The sequence below is a fragment of the Homo sapiens genome, chromosome 9 (genome assembly GCF_000001405.40).
Source record: "Homo sapiens chromosome 9, GRCh38.p14 Primary Assembly".
In the NCBI taxonomy this organism is placed as follows: domain Eukaryota; kingdom Metazoa; phylum Chordata; class Mammalia; order Primates; family Hominidae; genus Homo; species Homo sapiens.
Window position 1 is genome coordinate 100,565,311 of NC_000009.12, and position 23,079 is coordinate 100,588,389.

Consider the following 23,079-nt stretch of genomic DNA (forward strand, 5'->3'; position numbering starts at 1 on the left):
AAATTCCATGGCCAGTCATTGTAGTTCCCTTTGCATTTGAATCCCACATTCCTCTATTGCTTCATCATACTCACTTGCCAAAACTGTAGTCCTGGTTCCTCCCAGCTCTCCACCCACTGCATACCTATACATGCAGTTGATCATGGCTGTCGGTGAAAAGCACACCACCGGTTAACTCGTCTCACTGACATACCGATCGGTCTCAAGGTGGGCCCTTTATGCTGCCCTGGCAGTCATTCTACACCTGCAGTTTATACATTCTCCTCCTCTCCTGTATGATTTCTTTGTACCTTCTCCTCTCTCCTCAGATTAGCAGTACCTCCTCTCTCATCCTCACTCTTGCCTGTTGATCTTCTTTCCAAGTTCACTGAGAAAATGGAAGCAATATGAGAACTTGCACACTTTCACTATCACCTACCAGCAAGCCTCTCCCTGTTTCTCTGTATCATAGAACTTGATATCAGTATATCTCATATATATTGATAAACTTTTATTTATTCCATCTTGGAAAAAAACTCCTCATTCTCATTCCCACCAGTTACTGTCCTGTTTGTTTCCTTTCCTTCATAGAACTCAAAAGAGTTGTCTAAAGTCTATCTCCAGTTCCTCACTTCCCATTTCTCTTGAACTCACCCCAACAAACTTTTGTCCCTAACACTCCACTGAGACTGTTCTCATTTCTAAATTCAGTGGTCAGTACTTAGTCTCAAATTACTTTTGAATGATCAGTGCATTTGACACACTTGTTCACCCCCTCCTGTGTGATATGCATTCTTCACTTGGTGTCAAGAATTATACTGTCTCTTGTTTTTTTCCTACTTCGCTGGATGTTCCAGTTTTCTTGGCTGCTTCCCACTTTGCTCCTTGACCTCTCAATGTAGTAGTGTACCCGGGTTCAGTCCCAGTCCTCTTCTCTTACAGATTCTGTCCAGTCTCAGGACTTCCCATGACATATGCTAATAACTCCTAATTTACATAAATCCCAGACTTCTCTACTGAATTTGAAACTCGTAGATCCATATGCCTCCTTTACATTTCCACATGGACGTCTGACACCTCAATCTCAACAGGACCAAAGCTGATCTCCTGATCTGCTCTCCCTCCCTAAACCTGCTTTACCTGCCACCTTCTTCATCTCAGTTGATTCCAACTCCATCTTTTCAGTTGCTCAGACAAAACACCCTCTGATGTATCTCTGACTTCTCTTTCGTATCCAATCAGCTGGGAATTCTGTTTCAGAATATCTCCAGAATTTGGTTACTTCTCACCATTGCCAGTGCTGTTCCTAGTGCAGGCCAATGTTTTCCTGGGATTTTTGCAGTAGCTTCCGTGATTGTATTCTACAGTCCATAATCAAAACAGCAGACAGTGAGTGCCCCCGCCTTTTTTCTTTTTTCTTTTTTCTTTTTTTTGAGACAGGGTCTCACTCTGTTGCCCAGGCTGGAGTGCAGTGGTGTGATTTCAGGTCACTGCAGCCTCCACCTCCTGGGTTCAAATGATTCTCATGCCTCAGCCTCCTGAATAGCTGGGATTACAGGCGTGCACCACCACACCTGGCTATTTTTTGTATTTTTAGTAGAGATAGGGTTTCAGCACGTTGGCCAGGCTGATTTTTGCATTTTTTTGTAGACAGTTTCATCATGTTGCGCAGGCTGGTCTCGAATTCCTGACCTCAGGTGATCCACCTGCCTTGGCCTCCCACAGTGCAGAGTGAACCTTTTAAAATAAAAGTCAGTTCGTATCATTCCTCTGCTAAAATCCTTCCAGTGGTTCCTTCATCTCACTAAGTGCAGAAGGCCCTACAGTTTTGTCTCTTCACCTCTCTGTCTGGCTCTCCTCTCCCTCACCCCCTCTTCTGCAGCCACACTTGCTGTTCTTGGGCATGCCATGCATGCATGGATGCTCCCACTTTAGGGGACTTGCACTGGCTCTTCCTTTGCCTGGTATGCTGTCCTCCAATTGTTTGCATGGCAGGCTCCTCACCTCCTTCAAGTCTTTACTCACGTGTTACCTTCTTAACCTACCCGGATTGCCTTATTTAAAATTGCAACCCTCCCTTCCTGCAACTTTCCTGGCTCATACCTGGTGTTCGCAGTTTCCCTTAACACCTCACACCCCACATCCCCTGTAGTGCATATCACCTTCTAACATAACCATTTAATTCACTTACTTTGTTTATTGACACTCTTCTCCCGGTAGCTGGTAAGCAGGCCAGGGATCTTTATCTGTTCTGTTCACTGATACATCCCAAATGCTCACCACAGTAGGTGCTCAATAATTGTGGTAAATGGATGTGTGAATGAATTCACACGTGAGACAGTGGGAGTGAATGGGATTGCCTGTGGAAGGTGTTTTGGGATGAAAATAGAAAGTGGAGGACTGAATCCCTGGATCTGCCTTTAATCAGTAACAGAAGAAGAAGTAATAACCTAGAAGTTAGTACTCTAGGTATTAGGAGAGTGTATTAGTCTGTTTTCACTGCTAATAAAGACATACCCAAGACTGGGCAATTTACAAAATAAAGGGTTTAATTGGACTTACAGTTCCACGTGGCTGGGGAGGCCTCACAATCATGGGGGAAGGCAAAGAGGAGCAAGTCACATCTTACCTGGATGGCAGCCAGTAAAGAGAGGGCCTGTGCAGCAAAACTCCAGTTTTTAAAACCATCAGATCTCGTGAGACTCATTTACTGTCACAAGAACAGTGCAGGAAAGACCTGCCCCCATAATTCAATCACCTCCCACTGGGTTCCTCCCACGACACATGGGAGTTGTGGGAGTTACTATTCAAGATGGGATTGGGGTAGGGCACAGCCAAACCATATCAGATAGTATAACCAAAAGTCAGTTGGAGAAAATGATATCCAGGGAGAACTGCAGGGATGATATATGGCCTATTGGTTCTTTTTGATACTCTGATTTTAATCTTTGGCTTAAGCCAAACCATTAGAGAGCTGCATATCTAGGACATTGTTACAGCTCCTTATGGAACTGTTTTTATATTACTGAGCTTTGACTATTGGCCATTAGCCTACCATGAAGGACATTATTTAAAAAATCCCATGAGACTTCATTATATCATTGAATTTACTGCAGCTGTGTTGTTGAGGATAATGTTCTTTATGTTAGAAGGTGCCCTCTTTAAATGAGGACCAATGAGATTAAGTTCCCTTAAGTTTCATAACAGTAATAACTGTGCTTCTTTTGAATGACTTGTTTGATTTTATTTTATGGAGATTGTATTTTGTGTCAACTGTCCTCCCTCCCTCCTTCCTTCCCTCCCTCTCTTCCTTCCTTCCTTCTCCATTGGTGTTTAATATATGCACAGAGTTGTGCAACCATCACCACAATCAATTTTAGTACATTTTCATCTCCTCAAGAGGACACCTCATACCCTTTAGCTTTTACTCCCAAATCCCCTCATGCTCTCTAGCTCTAGGCATCCGCTAATTTATTTTCTATCTCTATAGACTTACCTATTCTGGATAGTTCATGTAAATTGAACTATATAGTATGGGGTCTCCTGTGTCTAGCTTTTTTTAACTTAGCGTAATATTTTCCAGGTTCATCCATGTCATAACACATATCAGTACTTCATTCCTTTTTGTGGCTGAATACTATTCCATTGTATGGATGACACCACATGTTTTTAATCTACTCATCATCAGTTGATGAAAATTTAGGTTCTTTCCACTTTATGGTTATTATGAAAAATGCTGCTCTGAATGATCATTTGCAAGTTTTTGTGTGAACGTGTTTTAATTTCACTTGGGTAAAGCTTAGTGGTAGAATTGCTGGGCCAAATGGTAACCCTGTGTTTAACATTTTGAGGAGCTGCCAGACCGTTTTCCAAAGTGGCTGCACCATTTTACACACCCTACAGTACCTTTGACAACACTTGTAATTATCTGACTTTTTGATTTAGGCTATCGTAGTAACTGTAAAAACTGGCATATACGGTGGCTTTGATTTTTATTTCCATGATGGCTAATGATGTTGAGCATCTTTTCATGTGCTTATTGGCTATTTGTATATCTTCTCTGGAGAAATGTCAGTACACATCCTTTGCTCTTTTATTTTTTGGCTATTATTGAGTTGTATTAGTTATTTATATATTCTAGATATAAGTCCCTTATCAGATATATGGAACTTACTTTTTTTTTCCATTTTGTGGCTTGTCTTTTCACTTTCTTGATAATGTCCTTAAGTACAAAAGATTTTAATTTTGATTTAGTGCTATTTATCTTTTTTGTTGTTGTTGTTGCTTTTGATTTTTGGTGTCATATCTAAGAAACTGTTGCCTAATCTAAGGTCACAAAGATTTACTCCTATGTTTTATTCTCTTCTAAAAATTAAATTTATTTAAAAATTGACAAAATTATGTATACATATTATGTACATCATATTTGGAAATATATATACATTGTGAAATGTCCAATCAAGCTGATTAACATATGCATTACCTCACATTGTTACCACTTTTGTGGTGAGAACACTTAAAATCCTCAGCATTTTCCAAGAATACACTGCATTGTTAACTATAGTCACCATGTTGTACACTACATTTCTTGAACCTATTCCTCCCATCTAACTGAAATTTAGTATCCCCTGACCAACATGTCCTCAAAGCACCTCCTACCACACCAGTCCCTGGTAACCACTATTCTACTCTCTACTTCTATGAGATCAACTTTTTTAGGTTCCACATATGAGTGGGATCACTCAGTATATGTCTTTCTATGCTTGGCTTATTTCACTTAATATAATGTTCTGGAGGTTCATCCATGCAAATGATAGGATTTCCTTCTTTTTTATGGCTGAATAGTATTCCATTTTGTATATATACCTCATTATTTTATCCATTTATTTGTTAATGGACACTTAGATTAAATCCATATCTTAGCTATTGTGAATAATGCTGCAATAAACGTGGTAGTGCAGATATTTCTTCAATATACTGATTTTATTTCCTATAGTTATATACCCAGTAATGAGATTGCTGGATCATATGGTAGTTTTATTTTTAATTTTTTGAGGAACTTCCATACGGTTTTCCATAATAACTGTATCTTATGTTTTTTTTCTTCAGAGTTTTATAGTTTTAGCTCTTACGTTTAGATCTGCGATCCATTTTGAGGCAATTTTTGTGTATGACACGAGGAAGAGGTCTAGCTTCATCCTTTTGTGTGTGGATATCCAGTTAGCACCATTTGTTGAAGAAACAGTTCTTTCCCCATTGAGTTATCTTAGCACCCTTGTCAAAACCAATTGACCATAGATGTATGGGTTTATTTCTAGGCTCTCCATTCTCTTCCATGATCCACATACCTGCCCACTGCTTGTTTTTTTTTGTTTGCTGGAAAGCGTAGAGCCCAATGTGAAATGTACTGGGAAGTGTCTAGGAACCTCAGGGACTGGATTGGTAGACTTGCAGCACCCCTGGATTTCCCTGTTTCCCTCCTCCCACATTTCTTTTTTGTTGTTTTAATGTGTGCTTTGCGATAAGCTGCCTCAAATTCTTTTCTTAATGAGTTGTGGGACATTCATAAATACTGTTTTTATACTTCAAATGTTTTATTAATCAGTTCTCACTGAAGGCTGGCTAATTTATACATTTCACTGCTGTCAGCTTAAAAATGTAAATTGTCTGTTAAGTGTCTTAAATATTTCTCCCTGTCAAATTATCATCAGCTGATGCAGTTGTCTTTTTATCTACTTTTAATTGGAATTCAGATAATTTCCAAGATTAGCACCTACAGCTTACCTCCTTGACTGCTTGACATTGTTTCTGTTATTAATAACTTATTTTCATCTTCCCCTTGCATCTTACATGTTTATATTTTATACACTGAAAAGTGTCTTGAATATAATTTGGTGCTATGTTCAGAGGACTGTAAATGTTTATACCTATTTTTTCAATAGTCTTAATTTTCAGGTACTTAGCCCTAAGGAATAACACTAAATATAGAAAAGCGCATATTCACCAAGATGTTTACCACATCTAATTTATAATTGTGAAAAATTGAAAATAACTGACATGTCTTAGAACTGGGAATAGATAATGCTAGCTATATTATAGTCACTGGATGGAGTATTATATTTCTGTTTTGAAATTATATGTATCTATTTTGAAAAAAATGCTAAGAGAGTAGATTTTAAGTGTTCTCACCACAGACATGATAACTATATGAGGTAATGCATATGTTAATTAGCTTGATTTAGCCATTCCACAATGTCTATACATTTCCAAATATCATGTTGTACATCAGTGGTCCCCAACCTTTTTGTTGCCAGGGACTAGTTCCGTACAAGACAGTTTTTCCATGGACTGGGGATTGGGGGTGGGGGTGATGGTTTGGGGATGATTCAAGTGCATTACATTTATTGTGCACTTTATTTCTATTATTATTACATGGTAATACTTAATGAAATAATTATACAACTCACCATAATGTAGAATTGGTGGGAGCTCTGAGCTTGTTTTTCCTGCAATTAGACAGTCCCATCTGGGGGTGATGGGGGACGGTGACAGATCCTTAGGCATTAGATTCACATAAGGAGCACTCAACCTAGATCCCTTGTGTGCGCAGCTCACAATAGGGTTTGCGCTCCTATGAGAATCTAATGCCAGTGCTGATCTGACAGGAGGCGGAGCTTGGGTGGTAATGTGAGTGATGGGGAGTAGCTGTAAATACAAAGAAGCTTTGCTTACTTGCCCACCACTCACCTCCTGCTGTGTGGCCTGGTTCCTAACAGGCCATGGACCAATATCTGTCCATGGCCCGGGAGTTGGGGGGGATCCCTGTTGTACATGATAAATATACGTAATTTTATTTGTCAATTTTTAAGCAAATTTAATTTAAAAAGTGAAAAAAAGGAGTAAATCTTTGTGGCTTTAGATTAGGCAATAATTTCTTAGATATGACACCAAAAGCAAAAGCAACAATAACAAAAAAAGATATACATTAACAATATTCAGCAACTTTAAAATTAATGTGATATAACTTAGGTGAAAGACGCACCATGTAGGCATATCAGAAAGACAGTAGGGAAACATACAAATGACATTTTTCCCCCAGATGGTAGGAAAGTGCATGATATCCTATTCCTGTTTAAATTTTATTACTATTTTGTATTTTTTAATGTAAAAGCTTGGGAGTATCAAAATTTGTAATTTTCATAGGAATATATATATTTTTCCTTTTCAGATGTGAATCTGGCTACACTGGACAGCACTGTGAAAAGACAGACTTTAGTATTCTCTATGTAGTGCCAAGTAGGCAAAAGCTCACTCATGTTCTTATTGCAGCAATTATTGGAGCTGTACAGATTGCCATCATAGTAGCAATTGTAATGTGCATAACAAGGTAGGTAATGATGTAAGAAATATCAACTTTAAATTAGAGGCAGGCAACTGTTTATTTATAGATGCTTTGAGGCCACCAGTCTATTAGGAAAAATCTTATGATCAGTTCCCTGAGGTTTTCAGTGGTCTCTCCCTATCCTTCTTCTTTAGGATACGGGCAGGGACTAATTCCCAGTCTTACAGGTATATCTGGGCGACAAGCAGAGAGGGAATGAGAATAGTCAATGAGATAAAGGAATTTAGGGATCTGAGAACTGTATACAGTCTTTGAACACTGTATTCTGGGAAAATAATGTTAGTAGCAATCTTTTTTTTTTTTTTTTAAGAGACAGGGCCTCACTCTGTTGCCCAGGCTGGAGTGCAGTAGCAATTAGAGCTCATTGCAGCCTCAAATTCCTGGGCTCAAGTGGTCCTCCAGAGTAGCTGAGACTATAGGCGTGAACCACCCTGACTGGCTCAGAATTTCTAGAATGATCTGCACATGCATAGGAGATCCATGCAGAAGATTTTTAAGCCCTGCACAACTGCAAGGGGTTCTGTGCCCTAAGAACGTACTTTACTCACAGTTAGTATAGTAAGAAAGGAAGAAATCAGAGGCTGAAGATAGTTTTATTGTGATATCATGGTGTTAACATTACTTCATTTTCAGGATTGCAGCGATAAGTAATAAGCTTTAAAATTCTGTATTATAAATAAAATTATTCGTCATAAATTAAATGACTTATTTGGAGTGCAGTGGCATAAAATGGGTCTTTTCTAAACTGAGTAGAAATACATAAGTCAGACTGAACTGGGCCTGAGAAAAGTCAGAGTAAATCCAGCAAGTTCGTGTTGTCTTTGTGCTTCCCAGTCTAATGCTTTTCTTCCTGCTTACCTCTTTCTTTAAGCTTCAGTTCAGAAGTCTCATAAGCATCATTTCTCCACTTCCCTGCATTATTCTGGGCAGAGGGTTGAAGCATATCAAATACAGATATTGGCAGGCCATAATGGATTTGTGGCCCTTCTATCCAAGGTCTGGATAGAAGCCAGACCTTCAGTAGTCTCAGCCATCTGGAGCTGAGATGATAAATCTAGAAATGATAAAAAAGAAAAGGTTCTCCAAGTAACAGATATTTTTCATAACACCTAGGCATGAAAGTCAGTGCGCTTTATTTCACAGAACAGATGATCTGCCCTTAGGCAAGACTACTGAATATAAAATTGGACGGTAGATCAAAGTAGGGACATAATCATGTAACAAATAATGATAACAGAAAGAGAAGATAGGGAAAACACATTTAACAGCATGACTGGCTGTAGCCATTTAATATAGACTCAGAGGTTAAGTAATTTGTCTGTGGTCATCCGACTAGTAAGTGGAATTGTCTGGATTTGGATTCAGTTTGATTCCCATTCATTCTTTACACTGAAAGGTTCCATGTTGAGTCATCTTGGGAAACATGTTTGCCCAGTATGACCATTGCATGGGAGCAGGGTTCAAACTTGATTTTGTAGCAGTTTAGGGTTTTTGAGCAGGGGAAGGACTTGGTATAAACCATATTTTTCAGAGTATTAATGAGTCATCTGAAAAATTCATTGGAGTAGTGAACATATGAGGTAGGGGGAAGACCATTTAAGTCATTATTAGAGTTAAATAGGAGTGAGGTAATGAATGATTTGGAAGGCAGAAGGAAAATTAAGGTAAAGTAAGGGGAGATGTTTGAGGCCTGGAGATAGTGCCTTTATTTGAGACAGGGTCTCACTCTGTCATTCAGGCTGGAGTGCAGTGGCATGATCTTGGATCATTGCAACCTCCACCTCCTGGGCTTATCTCAACCTCCCGAGTAGCTGAGACTACAGGCATGCGCCACCATGCCTTGCTAATTTTTGTATTTTTTTTTTTGTAGAGACTGGGTTTGGCCATGTTGCCGAGGCTGGTCTTCAACTCCTAGGCTCAAGTGATCCACCTGCCTCGGTCTCGCAAAGTGCTGGGATTGTGCCCAGCCAGATAGTGCCATTTTTAAGAGGATCAAAGGATGTCAGAGTCAATGAGAAACAATTCTGAGTTCAACCCCTTCATTTAGAGAAGTTGGGAAACTGAAGCCCTGAGATAAGAAGTACCTTGGTCTAAGGTCCTAGAGCTAGGAAAGCCCCCTTACAACAGTCTTTTACCCAACTCTTTCAGTGCTATAATGCTCAACTACTCAATTAAAATTACCTGGCAGGCAGTTTTGAAGTAGGTACCCTCTAGTTTATACTCCAGATCCCTCCTTGTTGCCCTCACAGCCACTTAGACATCACAGTGTATTTCTAACTATGTCACAGTGTCTTTACTGCCCACTGTCTCTACGATTGAAGAGTCATCTCATTGAATTTATCACAGATTTCTCCTGGAGGCCTGTCTTTTTATTATGGTATTTCCTCCCCTAGAATGTCTTGCTATCTTGGATTTAGAACATTTATGTACTTGGATTTATTTCCATTGAGTTTTTAAGTATCTCTCCCACACAGTCCATTATGAGACAGCTGTTGACATATACCGTGGCGGCTGTCACATGGGAGGAATCTTCTTTAAAAGGATGTTCCCACTGACCTGTTTATCAAGACTGCATGAGTCAATTTTTCTTTTTTTCTTCTTCTTGGAATCGCCTTTCATATTTTCAGACTCATAGAATGACAGATTGTCAGGAACCTTGAACATCACCTTAACTAAACGCCCTGATTTTATGGATTTAAAAACCATGGCACTAGGAAATTGGAATTTTTCCAAGGTCATGGTGAGTTAGTGACAGTACAAGAGGGTTGCTTGATCTGTCAGCTAGTTTTCTCATTTATGAAATGGAGATGATTCCAACTCTGTCTACCTCACACTTTTAAAATGAGGATTAGTGAGGTAAAACCATATACAAAATGGAAGTATTGTCAACACTTTTAGTCAAGGCAAAGCTGTACTCTTTGAAATCGAACGAAATGAGGAGTACTCATTGTTATAAGACTTTCTTTCCATTAGGTTGTAAATTTCTTGCTGGCAGAGATTTTGGAAGCTAGTCCAACTCCTAATTTATTTTTTACATATAGGAGAATTGAGGTTGCACAGTTAGTTATTAGCAGAGCCCAGAATTCGTCTTAGCCCCCTTACTCCACATTGCATAGCACAGCATCTTGTGTTTGCAATCTAGTGTGCAGGCACAAGAGCAGTTCCAACCCAGTGAGATTTGTACTGCTGTTGAGAAACGTGGTAAAATGAGAGCAGAGTTAAAGAATGTCCCTTATCCTCAGTGTGGCAGTTCCTTATGGGCTTCTGTGGTTTGCCCCAGGAGGGTGTGGACAGCTTCTTTTGAGTCATTGTCTAAAATCAGTAGACATTCCTATGTATTCATAGCTGAGGTTAATAAGCACACTTCTTCCTGATTTCTCCCTTCATCTAAGCTCTTCTTGTCATTTTAGAGCTGTCTTCTCATAATGCACAGGGAAAGTACATAGGCCAGAGTCCTTTCTCCTGTCAGGGGTTTCATGTTATCAGTCACTGTGACTAGGGAGTTTCTAGGCTGGAGGAAGGGTGGGATATCTGTCAGGGATGCATACATAGTAGCATAGACACTGGTAATGAGTTTTGCTTGTGCCAGTACCTATATTACATATCTAATCCTCTCAACTTCCAGGTTTGTAGAGGAGGTAGCAGTCTGAATTGTGTTCATCTTCATCTTGTCTTGCAACAGATACCATCTCATTTCCCTTTCATGTAATTGCTTGCAATGTGGCTTTATGTGCAAAATGTGTATTACTTTGGAAACATTTGAAATATCCTGAACAAAATCATCAAAACAATATTTTTCTCTCTTTCTTTTTTTAATGCAACAGAAAATGCCCCAAAAACAATAGAGGACGTCGACAGAAGCAAAACCTAGGTCATTTTACTTCAGATACGTCATCCAGAATGGTTTAAACTGATGACTTTTATATGTACACTGACCATGTGATGTACATTTATTATGTCTTTTTTTAAAGAATGGAAATATTTATTTCAGAGGCCTTATTTTTGGACATTTTTAGTGTAGTACTGTTGGCTCGTATTTAGAATATTCAGCTACGACAGTTTTGGACTGTTTAGTAGTCTTTGTTTTATGTTTTTAAATACAGAAATTGCTTTCACAAATTTGTACCACATGGTAATTCTAAGACTTGTTCTTTACCCATGGAATGTAATATTTTTGCAAAGATGGACTACTTCACAAATGGTTATAAAGTCATATCCACTTCTTCCACAATGACCACAGCAAATGACCAAGCATGAACTAAAGGTAAAGATGTTTACAGATTACTTTTCTTACAAAAAAAATCTAGAAGACACTGTGTTTAAATAGATATTTAAATGTTTTTGAGATTTAGTAACTGATTTTTTAGACACTGCCTATCGCATGAACTGTAAAGCTGTGTGTATTAGGTGTAAAATATTTATAAGATATATGGACTGGGGAATTTGATTATTCCTCCCTTTGAAAAAATAGTCCTAATAATTTGAACAAATATGTTAGTAATGATGGAACAGATCAATGAAAAGTAGATATAGATATTGTGAAAATAGGCTGTTTAACAAACAGATTGGAATAAAGCCTATTCTACCAGTTAAACTACTTTAATACACATTCATTTTTAAAGAAAATGTTTGTTTTAACATAAATAAACAAATCGTATCAGTGTTTGTGAATAAAATACAAAAATGATTGTTAATGATTGGTGCTCTTAAAGTGAGCTTAAAATTTATCCAAGACGTATATCCAAATTTGTCCTGTAGTAATAGATTAATATTCATAGATTGTTGGTGTTTAAAGATCTGAAGTGTGAGTAGAATGTATTCAGCTGTTTAACATGTAGTTTAGATATTCAAAAGTATGCATGTAGAATTTAAAGAATATGTTAAAAATTATTAATTTTAATATTTTGTTTGGAAAAGCATGTTATAATATAATGTTTTCACTATATGGCCTCTGTTTTGGTGTGTTTATTTACCAAATTTTTTGATATTGGTGTTTCAGTATATTTAATATGTGAAATTAGTAGAAAAAGCAGATTTCGGTTCAGAATTCCCCTTTACTGTTACAAATACTGATTGAAATTATCTAAAGGCAAAAGCTTTACCCAACATTTGGAGTTTGCTTTTTTGATCATTTGGCTTCTAGGTTTAATATTAGTTACATGGTGGCTTTAGTGAACTTTTTTAAAAAGCTTTACTCTTCTACCCACACAGTCTTATTTGAGTCCCTTAGTCAGTCAGCAAGCATGTTTGGAACAGTCCCCGGTGCTTTGCAAGGGTTCAGATTGCAGAACAGTCACATATGGGTATTTGTAGTTATAAATACTTGACCGTTCTCTAGGGGTGGGGTTTCCAACTCTTTAAACAACCCTGTTGCCTGTTATCAAGCTGACTTTTTGCTCCAAGTGCCAGAATTGATTGTGGTTAGGACATCTTACGCTGAGAAATAAATAAAATGGAACATAATGGGTCTGCTTCAAATGCTGATAAAATCCACCAGAATCGCCTGTCGAGTGTTACAGAAGATGAAGACCAAGACGCTGCTCTTACCATTGTGACTGTGCTGGACAAAGTAGCCTCCATCGTGGACAGTGTGCAGGCAAGCCAGAAGAGAATAGAAGAGAGACACAGGGAAATGGAAAATGCCATAAAATCCGTCCAGATTGACCTGTTGAAGCTTTCACAGTCGCATAGCAATACAGGGCATATCATTAACAAATTGTTTGAGAAAACCCGAAAAGTTAGTGCTCACATTAAAGATGTGAAAGCCCGGGTGGAGAAGCAACAAATTCATGTTAAAAAAGTTGAAGTCAAGCAAGAGGAAATAATGAAGAAAAACAAATTCCGCGTGGTAATATTCCAGGTAAGCTTGCACTTGTGTTCAGCTTGCTTGTTCTAATCTCTTGCATCTTTTAATTGCCAAAAGTCATATCAGAGGTTTCCAGTGTCACATCTTAACTATTGTATATATTAATACAATGGAGTTCTGTATTAGCAGCAATCTCAGGATAAAACCATTTCTCTGTTAACCAAAGTACTATCTGTCATTTCGGTATTTTGAGCTTCTCAACCATTTCATGTAATATGAACTGTGGCTCATAGCTTAGGCTATTTCTTGCCTTTGAAACTTAATATTGGTAAGGCCCTTTCAGCATATTAGCCTTATTAGCATGAAGCCCTCTCATAGACTTTGAAAATGTTAGAACTAGAAGAAGACTCAGAAGCCTCTAGTTTAAAACACTTCTTTGTTCTCTAAAAGAAGAAACTGACAACCAGTAGCAGTGGTTTTTTCTGCTTATATGGAGAGCCTGGAAAGGCCTAAACAGTAGATATAAACTTTTCAGAATGTGATTTGTGTATTGGAATTTTTACATATAGATCACAATGATAGCGATTTTCCAATGAACAATGAGGCAATTATTTTTCTTATTATTATAGTAATACAAATATATGAGTCACATAAGTAGTTTCCTATGTTTGATTACAAAGTCTTTTTACTTAAGTGATTTAATATAATATTTTGTGTGTGGCATTGTGTATTGAGCTAAGTTCCCATATTATTCTGCGCTTGGCACTCATATTTTTGGAAATAGGAACATATTTATGGCAAATGCATAATATCTATGGTATATTTTCAAAACTCTTACAGTTAAAAGGAAAAAAATTGAACATTCCTTCACAGTAGAAAAGTGGGAAACTGTCATTATCAGGCAGTTTACAAAACACAAATAAGAATAAAATTCTAATTTCACCTATTTAAATGTTGGCAGTTATTAAAACCTATACCCAGAGGTTAATTTAAGGATTGGGAAAAAACACTTTCATATTCTGTTGGTAGAAATATTAATTGATAAAACATTTTTGAAAGGCAGATTTGGTAGTATGTATTAAGAAATTTAAAAATTCACAAACTTTTTGGCCCCAAAATTTATGTCAAAGAATTTGTTCTATGCATAAAATCAGGAATGTGTGTAGGAATGTTCACTGATGCATATAAAGTGTTATTTTTAAAAATGACACCTGTATTTTAAAAATGAGTACTTATGTACATAGGAAAAAAACTAGAAGAATATAAACTAAATGAAATAGGAACACAGTTGGATTATGTAGAGGATAATTTGTAAAACACGAGGGATGTGGCCCATAACTCCCCGTGGCATTCTTTACACATTAGGCAATTCTCCATAGCCCTCTGTTGACTGATAAGGTTACACTGGGATGGTGGAGTGGTATTTTAGGTCTGTTTTTAAGAGCCTGTAGGTTATTTAGGAAAAGTAATAGGAGAGTGAAGAGTTGCTTATTTCAAAGGTAGATAGGGCAGACTATGCTATTTGAAGTTCTTTATCATTTCCCTTTCCTTTCATGTCCCTGGAAGTCCTTCTATAGGCTTAAAAATTTGGGAAAAAAAAAAAAAGCCTGGGCAATGTGGCAAAACCCTGTCTCTACAAAAATAGAAAAGTTAACCAGGTGTGTCGTCGCGTGCCTGTGTTCCCTGCTACTTAGGAGGCTGAGGTGGGAGGGTCACCTGTGGGGAGGTTGAGGCTACAGTGAGCCATGATTGTGCCACTGCACTCCAGCGTGGGTGATAGTGAGACCCTGTCTTAAGAAAAAAAATTGAAAAATTGAAAAAAAATCAGTCACCTGATTTTCAGAGGCCAGTTCCAGTGTTAGTATATGTAGTGGGAAATGTAGTATCCATTCTTTGATTTGCCTTCTGAAGATGTTCAGAATTGTGGGTATATCTTACCCTCCACTGGCATGGGCGCATGGCCAGGAAACATATTTGGCATTCACGACTGCTGAGAACTTTTGTGCAAAGCAGTGGACTAAGTGCCAATTAAGATTTACAAAAGCAAGAGCAAAGAAGTTTCTGAAAAGTTTCCATTGACTCTGTTGATTGACATAACTCTTCTTTAAACTTTAAGATGTTTCTGTATTCACCTGTTTAGTCCCTGTAACTTACTGCTAATTGTTCCTTTCTTTGATCCCTTGTAGTTATTTAAAGCAACTGAAGGGTGCTAGTTTAGGGCACATCTCTTCTCTTGTAAGAAATAATGCCATGAAGATTCTGCATAATTAAGTTGTTCAGAGTAGCAGCAGTTCGTCAAAAAGTAATTGCTATCATTTATAATGGAACAGCTCGTAGAGAAAAGAATAATGGACATAGAACTCTGATTCAAAGATTCATTAGATGTTAGAAAGCTGTATACATGGTCACATGGTTATTCTTAGCAGTTAAAATTAGTTATAATTAATCATCATAGTTAAGGTATATAAATGGTTATATTGAGATTGCTCCTTCTGCTAAAATTAACTTGAAACCAAGCAATTCAGCCATAGTAAAAATTACCTGCTATTTCTTATACATTTATTATTTCTTTTCGAACATACTATATCTTCACTAATAAGCCTCAGACTTTTGTATATTCAGAATTTCCCTAGCTATATTAGTTTGAGAGCTTGTTTGGAAGTTCTAGCAGGGGAGTGCAGCTGCTTGTATACCCTTGACCAAAGACTGGTCCTCCTCTATCGTGGATGGTCATCCTCTTCGACCAAGCGTGCGGCTTCGAGAGGGACACACATGGAGCGGTGAGGGAGGAAGGGGACACCCACTTAGCCCAGCCAGATCAGCTGAATCAACCCTGGCAATCAGTGGGTTAACAGATGTTGCAGCCAATCGCCCTCACATCCCATAGCTATATTAGTTTGATGTTCAATCCAGCCCACAGTACTCTGAAGCACAGTATTCATTCTGTTACAAAAATGGTCTTTTTACCTGGAGTTTTATATTAAAAGATACAATTATATTTGGAAGTCAACTATAATTCAACATCTACAATCTTCAGTTATTATAACAGTCTATTCACCATTAGCTCATGATGTCGCTGTCTCATTGGAGTTGCAACTAATAGATCTGCGTAACAAGTACTTTTTTCTGACTCTACTCCTGTTTTGTTTTACTTTAAAGCCTGATTTTATATTATTTGTTGTGTACTTAAAGGAGGGTATGTGATTCCTGGGCTAAGCTATATCTGATTTCTTCACAGCAAGATTGTGTTTTTTCCCCTATCTAACAGTAATTAACTTTTGGCTCTTTCGTTTTCTAATTATACCCTCTCAGGCCGTGCCAACCCACATTGTGTTGCTGAAGCTACTCCCTGCAGCAGGTGTCAGGAAAGGAGAGGAATAATTTCGCTGCTTCAAACTGATTCATCAGAGAGCTATGAGACGCCCACCCCTGCCTTTTTTAGCTCCTAGACTCTCTAATCCTATAGCCAAAGAATTTAATTTTAAATAAGTATCCAAAGAAATAAGGTTCCAGGGATATCTTCTTGACTATCAGGCTGATAGGTTTTGGAATATGCATAAATGTGTTTTGTATATATTTATATATTTTTTGATTGAATAGATTTAATCTGGATCTCACGTGGGGGCACAGTTTCTTTTAGAAATTTTAACTCGTGGTTCAGTTAAAAATCTCATGATTTTTCAACTTTTGTCTGTTTAGTTTGAGAAATGCTCCCTATTCAGTTGGGTTCCTCTAGCTGCTGTGGTTGGGCTGGCTCTCAAGGTTTCCAGTGTGTGTCATGTCCCAAATCCAATTCTCATCCTTATTCTTTTGACACATTTGACACGATTGGACCTCTTTCTCTCTCTCTCTCTCTCTCTTTTAAAGAGACAGGGTCTTGGTCTGTTGCCCAGGCTAGAGTTCTACGGTGCAATCATAGCTCACTGCAGCCTCCAACTGCTGGGGGCAAGCCATCTTCCTTCTTCAGCCTTCCAAGTAGTAGGGACTACAGGTGCGCATCACCTTGCCTGGCTACACTTTAAAATTTTCGTGGAGGTCTCACTTTGTTGCCTGGGCTGGTCTTGGCCTCAAGTGATCCTCCCACCTCAGCCTCCCAAAATGTTGGGATTATAGGCATGAGCCACTGCACCCAGCCCCTCCCTTTCTCCTTGAAACTTCTTTCCTCTTGACTTCTGGGGTTACTCCTCTCTTTGGGAGTTCCCCCTGCCTCACTGGCTGATATCTGTCCTTTTTTTTCTTTTCTCATTTCTTCCTTCTACCAGTCCAAAATCCATGCTCTGTAACACCCATATTCAAAAATTCTTTAAAATATTTTTTAATAACATATTTGACAGCAAGACCTAACTTGACCTGAAATTATTCAGTGGAAAAACCTGACCTAAAGTAGCAGGAGGCTATTTCTAGCTTTTATCCCAACTTAGTGTGAATATTCATATTTTTTTTTGCCACAGAAATGTTTCTTCCAAGATCTTGCTGGGAATGTTATGTAATAAATCATATTATTTCCAAAGTCTGAAATATTCTGAATTCTGAAACACACCTTGGTGCCAAGGAATTCTGAGTAAAACAGAGCATAGACCCATTCACTCAGTTTCTTGGTGATCTCTTTCATCTGGTCTCATGACTTTAATTCCATCTTTACATCAATGACTCCTAAATTTGGGTGTCTAGCCCAGCCCTCTCTTCTGAATTCCAGACTCATCTACTCAGCTGCCTGCTCAGTGCCTCTGCCTGCATGGCTAGTGGGTGTCTCCAAGACAGCGTGTTCAGATCCCATCCTTCCCCTCCAGTCTCTTCCTCCTGCTGTCTCCCCCATCTCAATTAATGGCAGATCTATCTTTCATCTGCTCAGGCCATGTACTTGAGGATTGTTCTTGACACTCTGGCACTCCACATCCAAATCTAGTGGCAAATCTTGTTGGCTCCTACCTTCAAAGCAGCTCCGAATCAGACTGCTTCTCACCCCCAACCTGTCAGCACCCTTACCCAGTGCTCCCTTGCCTCAGTGTTCTCCACCTGTTCTCCCTGCTTCTTTTCTTGCCCCTACACCCTGTTTTCAACAGAGTGATGCTTTTATAATGTGGGTCAAATCCTGGCACTACTCTCCTGCAAGCCATTTATTCATTCATTCATTCATTCATTCATTCATTCATTCATTCATTTTTTTTAGACAGAGTCTTGCTGTGTCACCCAGGCTGGAGGGCAGTGGCACAATCTCAGCTCACTGCAACCTCCGCCTCCCGGGTTCAAGTGATTCTCTTGCCTCAGCCTCCCGAGTAGATGGGATTACAGGCATGTCCCACCACACCTGGCTAATTTTTGTATTTTTAGTAGAGACTATTTTGCCATGTTGGCCAGGCTGGTCTCGAACTCCTGACCTCAGGTGATCCCCCTGCCTCGGCCTTCCAGAGTGTTGGGATTACAGGTGTGAGCCACTGCACCCGGCTTCCTGCAAGGCTTTTAGAAGACTTCCTCTTATGCTCAGACCTCACCATTGGATACAGAGCATTGCATGACCTGGACCACCTGCTATCTCTCTTACCCTCTTGCCTCCCCTTCTTGCCCTTTCATCACTCTGCTGTCACCACACGGCCCTCCCCACTGTTTCTCTGTTCTTCCCAGATCTATACACAGCCTTCAGGTCTAGGCTTAGATGTCACCGTATGAATGAGGCCTTTCTGACCACTGTAGTTCAAACAGCACCTTCCTTGTCGCTGCATATTCCCCTTCCCTGCTTTAGTTCTCACCTTAGTGTATATCTTGCCATCTAACATGCTATATAGATTTTACTTGTTTGTCCCTCTCCGAGAATATAAGCTCTTTCACTCTTTTGTCTTCAAAGAAGCTTCACAGTTTCTAGAACCAGAAAATTTACTGGTTTGTGGTGTTGCTTAATAACTTTGTTGAAGGAAGGTATACACCTGTTTGATCCAATAATCATTTATTGAGTATGCCTACTATGTGCAAGACACTCTGATAGATGCTGGGCATAAAACATAAATAAGACACATGATCTCTGCTTTCAAGGAATCTGGAGAAGACCTCTGGGAGATACATATTTTTGAGTAAAGCTTCAATTCAAACTGTGCTAAATGTTATAAACAGAGGTATGTATGTGTAAATTTGAGATAGAGTTAGCCACTTGAGGAAGTTGGGGACACTTGAATTGATTATTGAAGAAAGATTTCATTTACAAAGCCAAAAAGAGGTGAAAGGGAACCTAAGATGTCAGAAACTTCTGGGTATGGTAGCATGTGCCTGTAGTCCCAGCTACTTGGGAGACTGAAGCAGGGGGATTCCTTGAGTCTCGCAGTTCGAGTCCAGCCTGAGTAATATAGTGAGACCCCGTCTTTATGAAAAGAAGAAGATACCAGAAATCACATATACATAGGCGTAGAGGGATGAAAACATCTTGTGCTTGAGGAATTGAGAGTGATTGTATGTTTCTGGGCTGGAAGAGTGGGAAAGTAGGTTTAGCTAAAGCTGAGGAGCCTTCTAATCATACTGAAGAATTTGAGCTCTTCGTTGAGTATTGGTGAGCTCTCCAAAGTTTAAAGCAGAGAAAAGATGTGATCAAAGCTATGCTTTAGTAATATTCTCAGAAAATACTTAGTTGATGTTCTGGAGGTAGAAGGATCAGTGAGGAGGCATTGCGCAAGTTCAGGACTGAGACGACAAGGGCCGGAATCAAGACATTGGTAGAGGGAATGAAGAAGGAGGAGGGAACAGATAAGTTGTTAGGCAGTATTATCAACAAAGCTTGGTGGCTGGTTGGATATGGAATGAGAAGGAGAGGAAATATTTGGGATTATGATTCAGGTGTTTCTATCTTATGTGGCACCTGGATAGGTGTTAGTGCTGAGAGGTACAGGGAAAGAAGTAGAAATGGAGAGGATGGTGGATGGGCCTTGATTTTTAGACTTGCTAAGTTCAAGATGACTGTGTAACCTCAAACTGTGGAGCAGTCTGCCCATCATTCACACATGTGTCTTCATCTTAGGAGAGAAGGAAAGTGAAGATAAAATACATGTGAGTTTACTTACAATTGGATCTGAAAAATGGAGTGGTTAAGGTTGCCCAGGGTAAGCCTGGGAGATGAAGAAGAGGAAAGGGCCAAGGTAAGAGAAACCCTAAGAAATGGTAACATTTAAGGAGCAGGCAGAGGATAAACAGCCCATGGAGATTTACAAGGCATGGCCAGAAGGTAAAAGAGCTGCTCTATAGTGCAAAGGAAGCACTAATATGCTTTGTTTTTTCTCTCCTTCAGGAGAAGTTTCGGTGTCCGACATCCCTGTCTGTTGTTAAAGACAGAAACCTAACTGAGAACCAAGAAGAGGATGATGATGATATCTTTGATCCCCCAGTAGATCTGTCTTCGGATGAAGAATATTATGTTGAAGAAAGCAGATCTGCCAGGCTTAGGAAGTCAGGCAAGGAGCACATTGATAATATCAAGAAGGCATTTTCCAAAGAAAACATGCAGAAGACACGGCAGAATCTTGACAAGAAAGTGAACAGAATTAGAACTAGAATAGTGACCCCGGAGAGGAGAGAGAGGCTAAGGCAGTCAGGAGAGAGGCTGAGACAGTCAGGGGAGAGGCTGAGACAGTCAGGGGAGAGGTTTAAGAAATCTATTTCTAATGCAGCTCCCTCAAAGGAAGCTTTTAAGATGCGCAGCCTCAGGAAAGGTAAGGACCGAACAGTGGCTGAAGGTGAGGAATGTGCCAGGGAGATGGGTGTGGACATCATTGCCAGGAGCGAGTCTCTGGGCCCCATCAGTGAGCTCTACTCTGATGAGCTCAGTGAACCAGAACACGAGGCAGCCAGGCCGGTGTATCCTCCCCATGAAGGAAGGGAAATCCCCACCCCCGAGCCTTTAAAAGTTACTTTTAAATCTCAGGTGAAAGTAGAGGATGATGAATCTCTTTTGTTAGATTTAAAGCACTCATCGTAAAGAGGAATTAAGTATATCCTAAATATGAATCTCCTAATCATGCAGTTTTAGTTTGAATAGTGTAGTCGTCTACATTTCTGTGCCATGTAGGAAAACATAAATGTATTTTTTTTCTTATATTTAAAATCTTGAAGATAATATAAATATTATTATCACTCTTTCTCATGGCAGCTGTGGATTTTTTAGTTCCTTTCTCTTGTCCACCAGAAAAATAGTTTCCTAGGTTGGGCCAGTTACGTGTTTGGTAAGGGCAACTTTGCGGCCGTCATTTGCAGGAGAACTCTAAATATTGGTTAGGATTAATATTGTGGCCAGCCTCAAAGGGGAATAACTCATGTGTGGGTTATATCGTCCAGATGTTCAGATCAACAGATTTGTTAGTAAATTAGCAGTCACACCCCTTTTTTGATGCTTTCACATTAAAAAATTGAAGTTTTGGACTTGAGCATTTGGCTCTAGTATCATAGCTTTACTTATAAGAAAACCCTGGGCAAGTCATCTGCTTATTCTCATCAGTAAAAATGGAGAGGGTTGGCCTCTGCTGCCTGCCTCAGAGGACTGTTGTGATGATCAAAGGAAATGGTACACATTCTGGGGGAACAAGAAGCACACCCAGAGAAAACAAGCCTCATCAGTTCCTCCAAAACAGAATGGAAAGAGTTACACCTTCTGAAAAAGCCCTCAGCACCAATCAATAAGGTCCTAGGTTGGAGAGAAACTAAAGCTGGTCTTCAGAAGCCTTTTCACAGAATCAAGAGTGAAAAATAAGTAAATGTTTGGGTGACCACTTTTTCATCAGACTAACTATATCTTGGGTTTTAGTTGGGTCTCAAAATGTTCCCCAGCCAGACCCTTTCTAATTTCCTTTTGATTAAGATCTTTGGTGGACTATAGCACTAAATTTGTTTAAGCAGTATGAGGCATAAAATTGTGACTATGTTTCTAAAGTCGGCCCTGATGCATTGGGTTTGGAAATGACCACAAATATTCCTGTTTTCCTGAGTGTACCCTTCAGGGTCCAGCTGTCCAAAACAGTGTTGATAGGAGTTCATCATAGCTGCTTTGGGAGGAAGCCAGATTCTCCTTATCTTTTAGCTTTAGATCGTGGAATCCAGGAAGTAGAACAATGTCTATTGTTGCTAAAGAAAGAAAGAAATGGGCCGGGTGTGGTGGCTCACGGGGAGTAATCCCAGCACTTTGCGAGGCCGAGGTGGGTGAATCACCTGAGGTCAGAAGTTCACGACCAGCCTGACCAACATGGCGAAACCCTGACTCTACTGAAAATACAAAAATTAGCTGGGCATGGTGGCATGCGCCTGTCCCAGCTACTCAGGAGGCTGAGACAGGAGAATTGCCTGAACCCAGGAGGCGGAGGTTGCAGTGAGCCGAGATTGTGCCACTGCACTCAAGCCTGGGCAAAAGAGCCAGACTCTGTTTCAAAAAAAAAGAAAAAAAGAAAAGAAAGAAATGGTAGTACTGATTCTGTACTTGAAGGATGTTTAATGTAGCATGGTGTTGTAATAGAGAAGAAATGATGAAATTGTTGAATTTGAAGAGTTGGGACAACGATCAGCTATCCCACTTTTTTTCTCACTTTCAGATCAGTTTTTGGATAATCATATGGTAGTTAAAATAATAAGTGTACACATATACACACAGGCATACATAAATCGGCTTTAAAATATTTGACTCAGTTACTCAGATGTTTGGGTTTGGGAGTCTGATTCAGCATCATTTCCTCTTCACCTTGCATGAATACATGAAATCATAATATCGTTCATGTTGTTACCTTTTTATATTGAAAACTAAAGTGTATACAACATTGGATAACACTTTCAAATGAATAATTTTAAAATGTTTTTATGACATTTTGGAAAGATCTTGGGTGCCTAATCACATATTTTCTTAAGAACCATAATAAATTTGAATTTAAGAAAA

General features: G+C 39.1%; 3 protein-coding genes and 1 pseudogene across 5 annotated transcripts in view; 3 read left to right on the forward strand and 1 right to left on the reverse strand.

Moving 5' to 3' along the window:
- The window catches only part of MSANTD3-TMEFF1 (MSANTD3-TMEFF1 readthrough), a 135,731-nt gene extending 123,405 nt beyond the window's left edge, over positions 1 to 12,326 (forward strand). Inside the window, exons 9-10 of the mRNA NM_001198812.1 lie at positions 7,208 to 7,366; positions 11,206 to 12,326. Coding sequence (NP_001185741.1) covers positions 7,208 to 7,366; positions 11,206 to 11,290 — 244 coding nt within the window. The 3' untranslated portion in view covers positions 11,291 to 12,326. The remainder of the gene's footprint in view (positions 1 to 7,207; positions 7,367 to 11,205) is intronic.
- TMEFF1 (transmembrane protein with EGF like and two follistatin like domains 1) overlaps positions 1 to 12,326 on the forward strand; it is a 104,488-nt gene extending 92,162 nt beyond the window's left edge. The window contains exons 9-10 of the mRNA NM_003692.5: positions 7,208 to 7,366; positions 11,206 to 12,326. Coding sequence (NP_003683.2) covers positions 7,208 to 7,366; positions 11,206 to 11,290 — 244 coding nt within the window. The 3' untranslated portion in view covers positions 11,291 to 12,326. The remainder of the gene's footprint in view (positions 1 to 7,207; positions 7,367 to 11,205) is intronic.
- CAVIN4 (caveolae associated protein 4) lies at positions 11,557 to 23,079 on the forward strand. 3 transcript variants are annotated; one of them, XM_047423346.1, is made up of 3 exons: positions 11,557 to 11,645; positions 12,879 to 13,241; positions 20,455 to 23,079. In XM_047423346.1, the coding sequence occupies exons 1-3, from the start codon at positions 11,625 to 11,627 to the stop codon at positions 21,139 to 21,141; spliced, it is 1,071 nt and encodes a 356-aa protein (XP_047279302.1). In that variant the 5' UTR covers positions 11,557 to 11,624; the 3' UTR covers positions 21,142 to 23,079. The 3 variants fall into 3 exon arrangements, with proteins under 3 accessions (XP_047279302.1, XP_047279303.1, NP_001018126.1); XM_047423347.1 differs by lacking the exon at positions 12,879 to 13,241; NM_001018116.2 differs by lacking the exon at positions 11,557 to 11,645 and having other exon boundaries at positions 12,769 to 13,241.
- Positions 15,831 to 16,069, reverse strand: RN7SKP87 (RN7SK pseudogene 87; annotated as a pseudogene).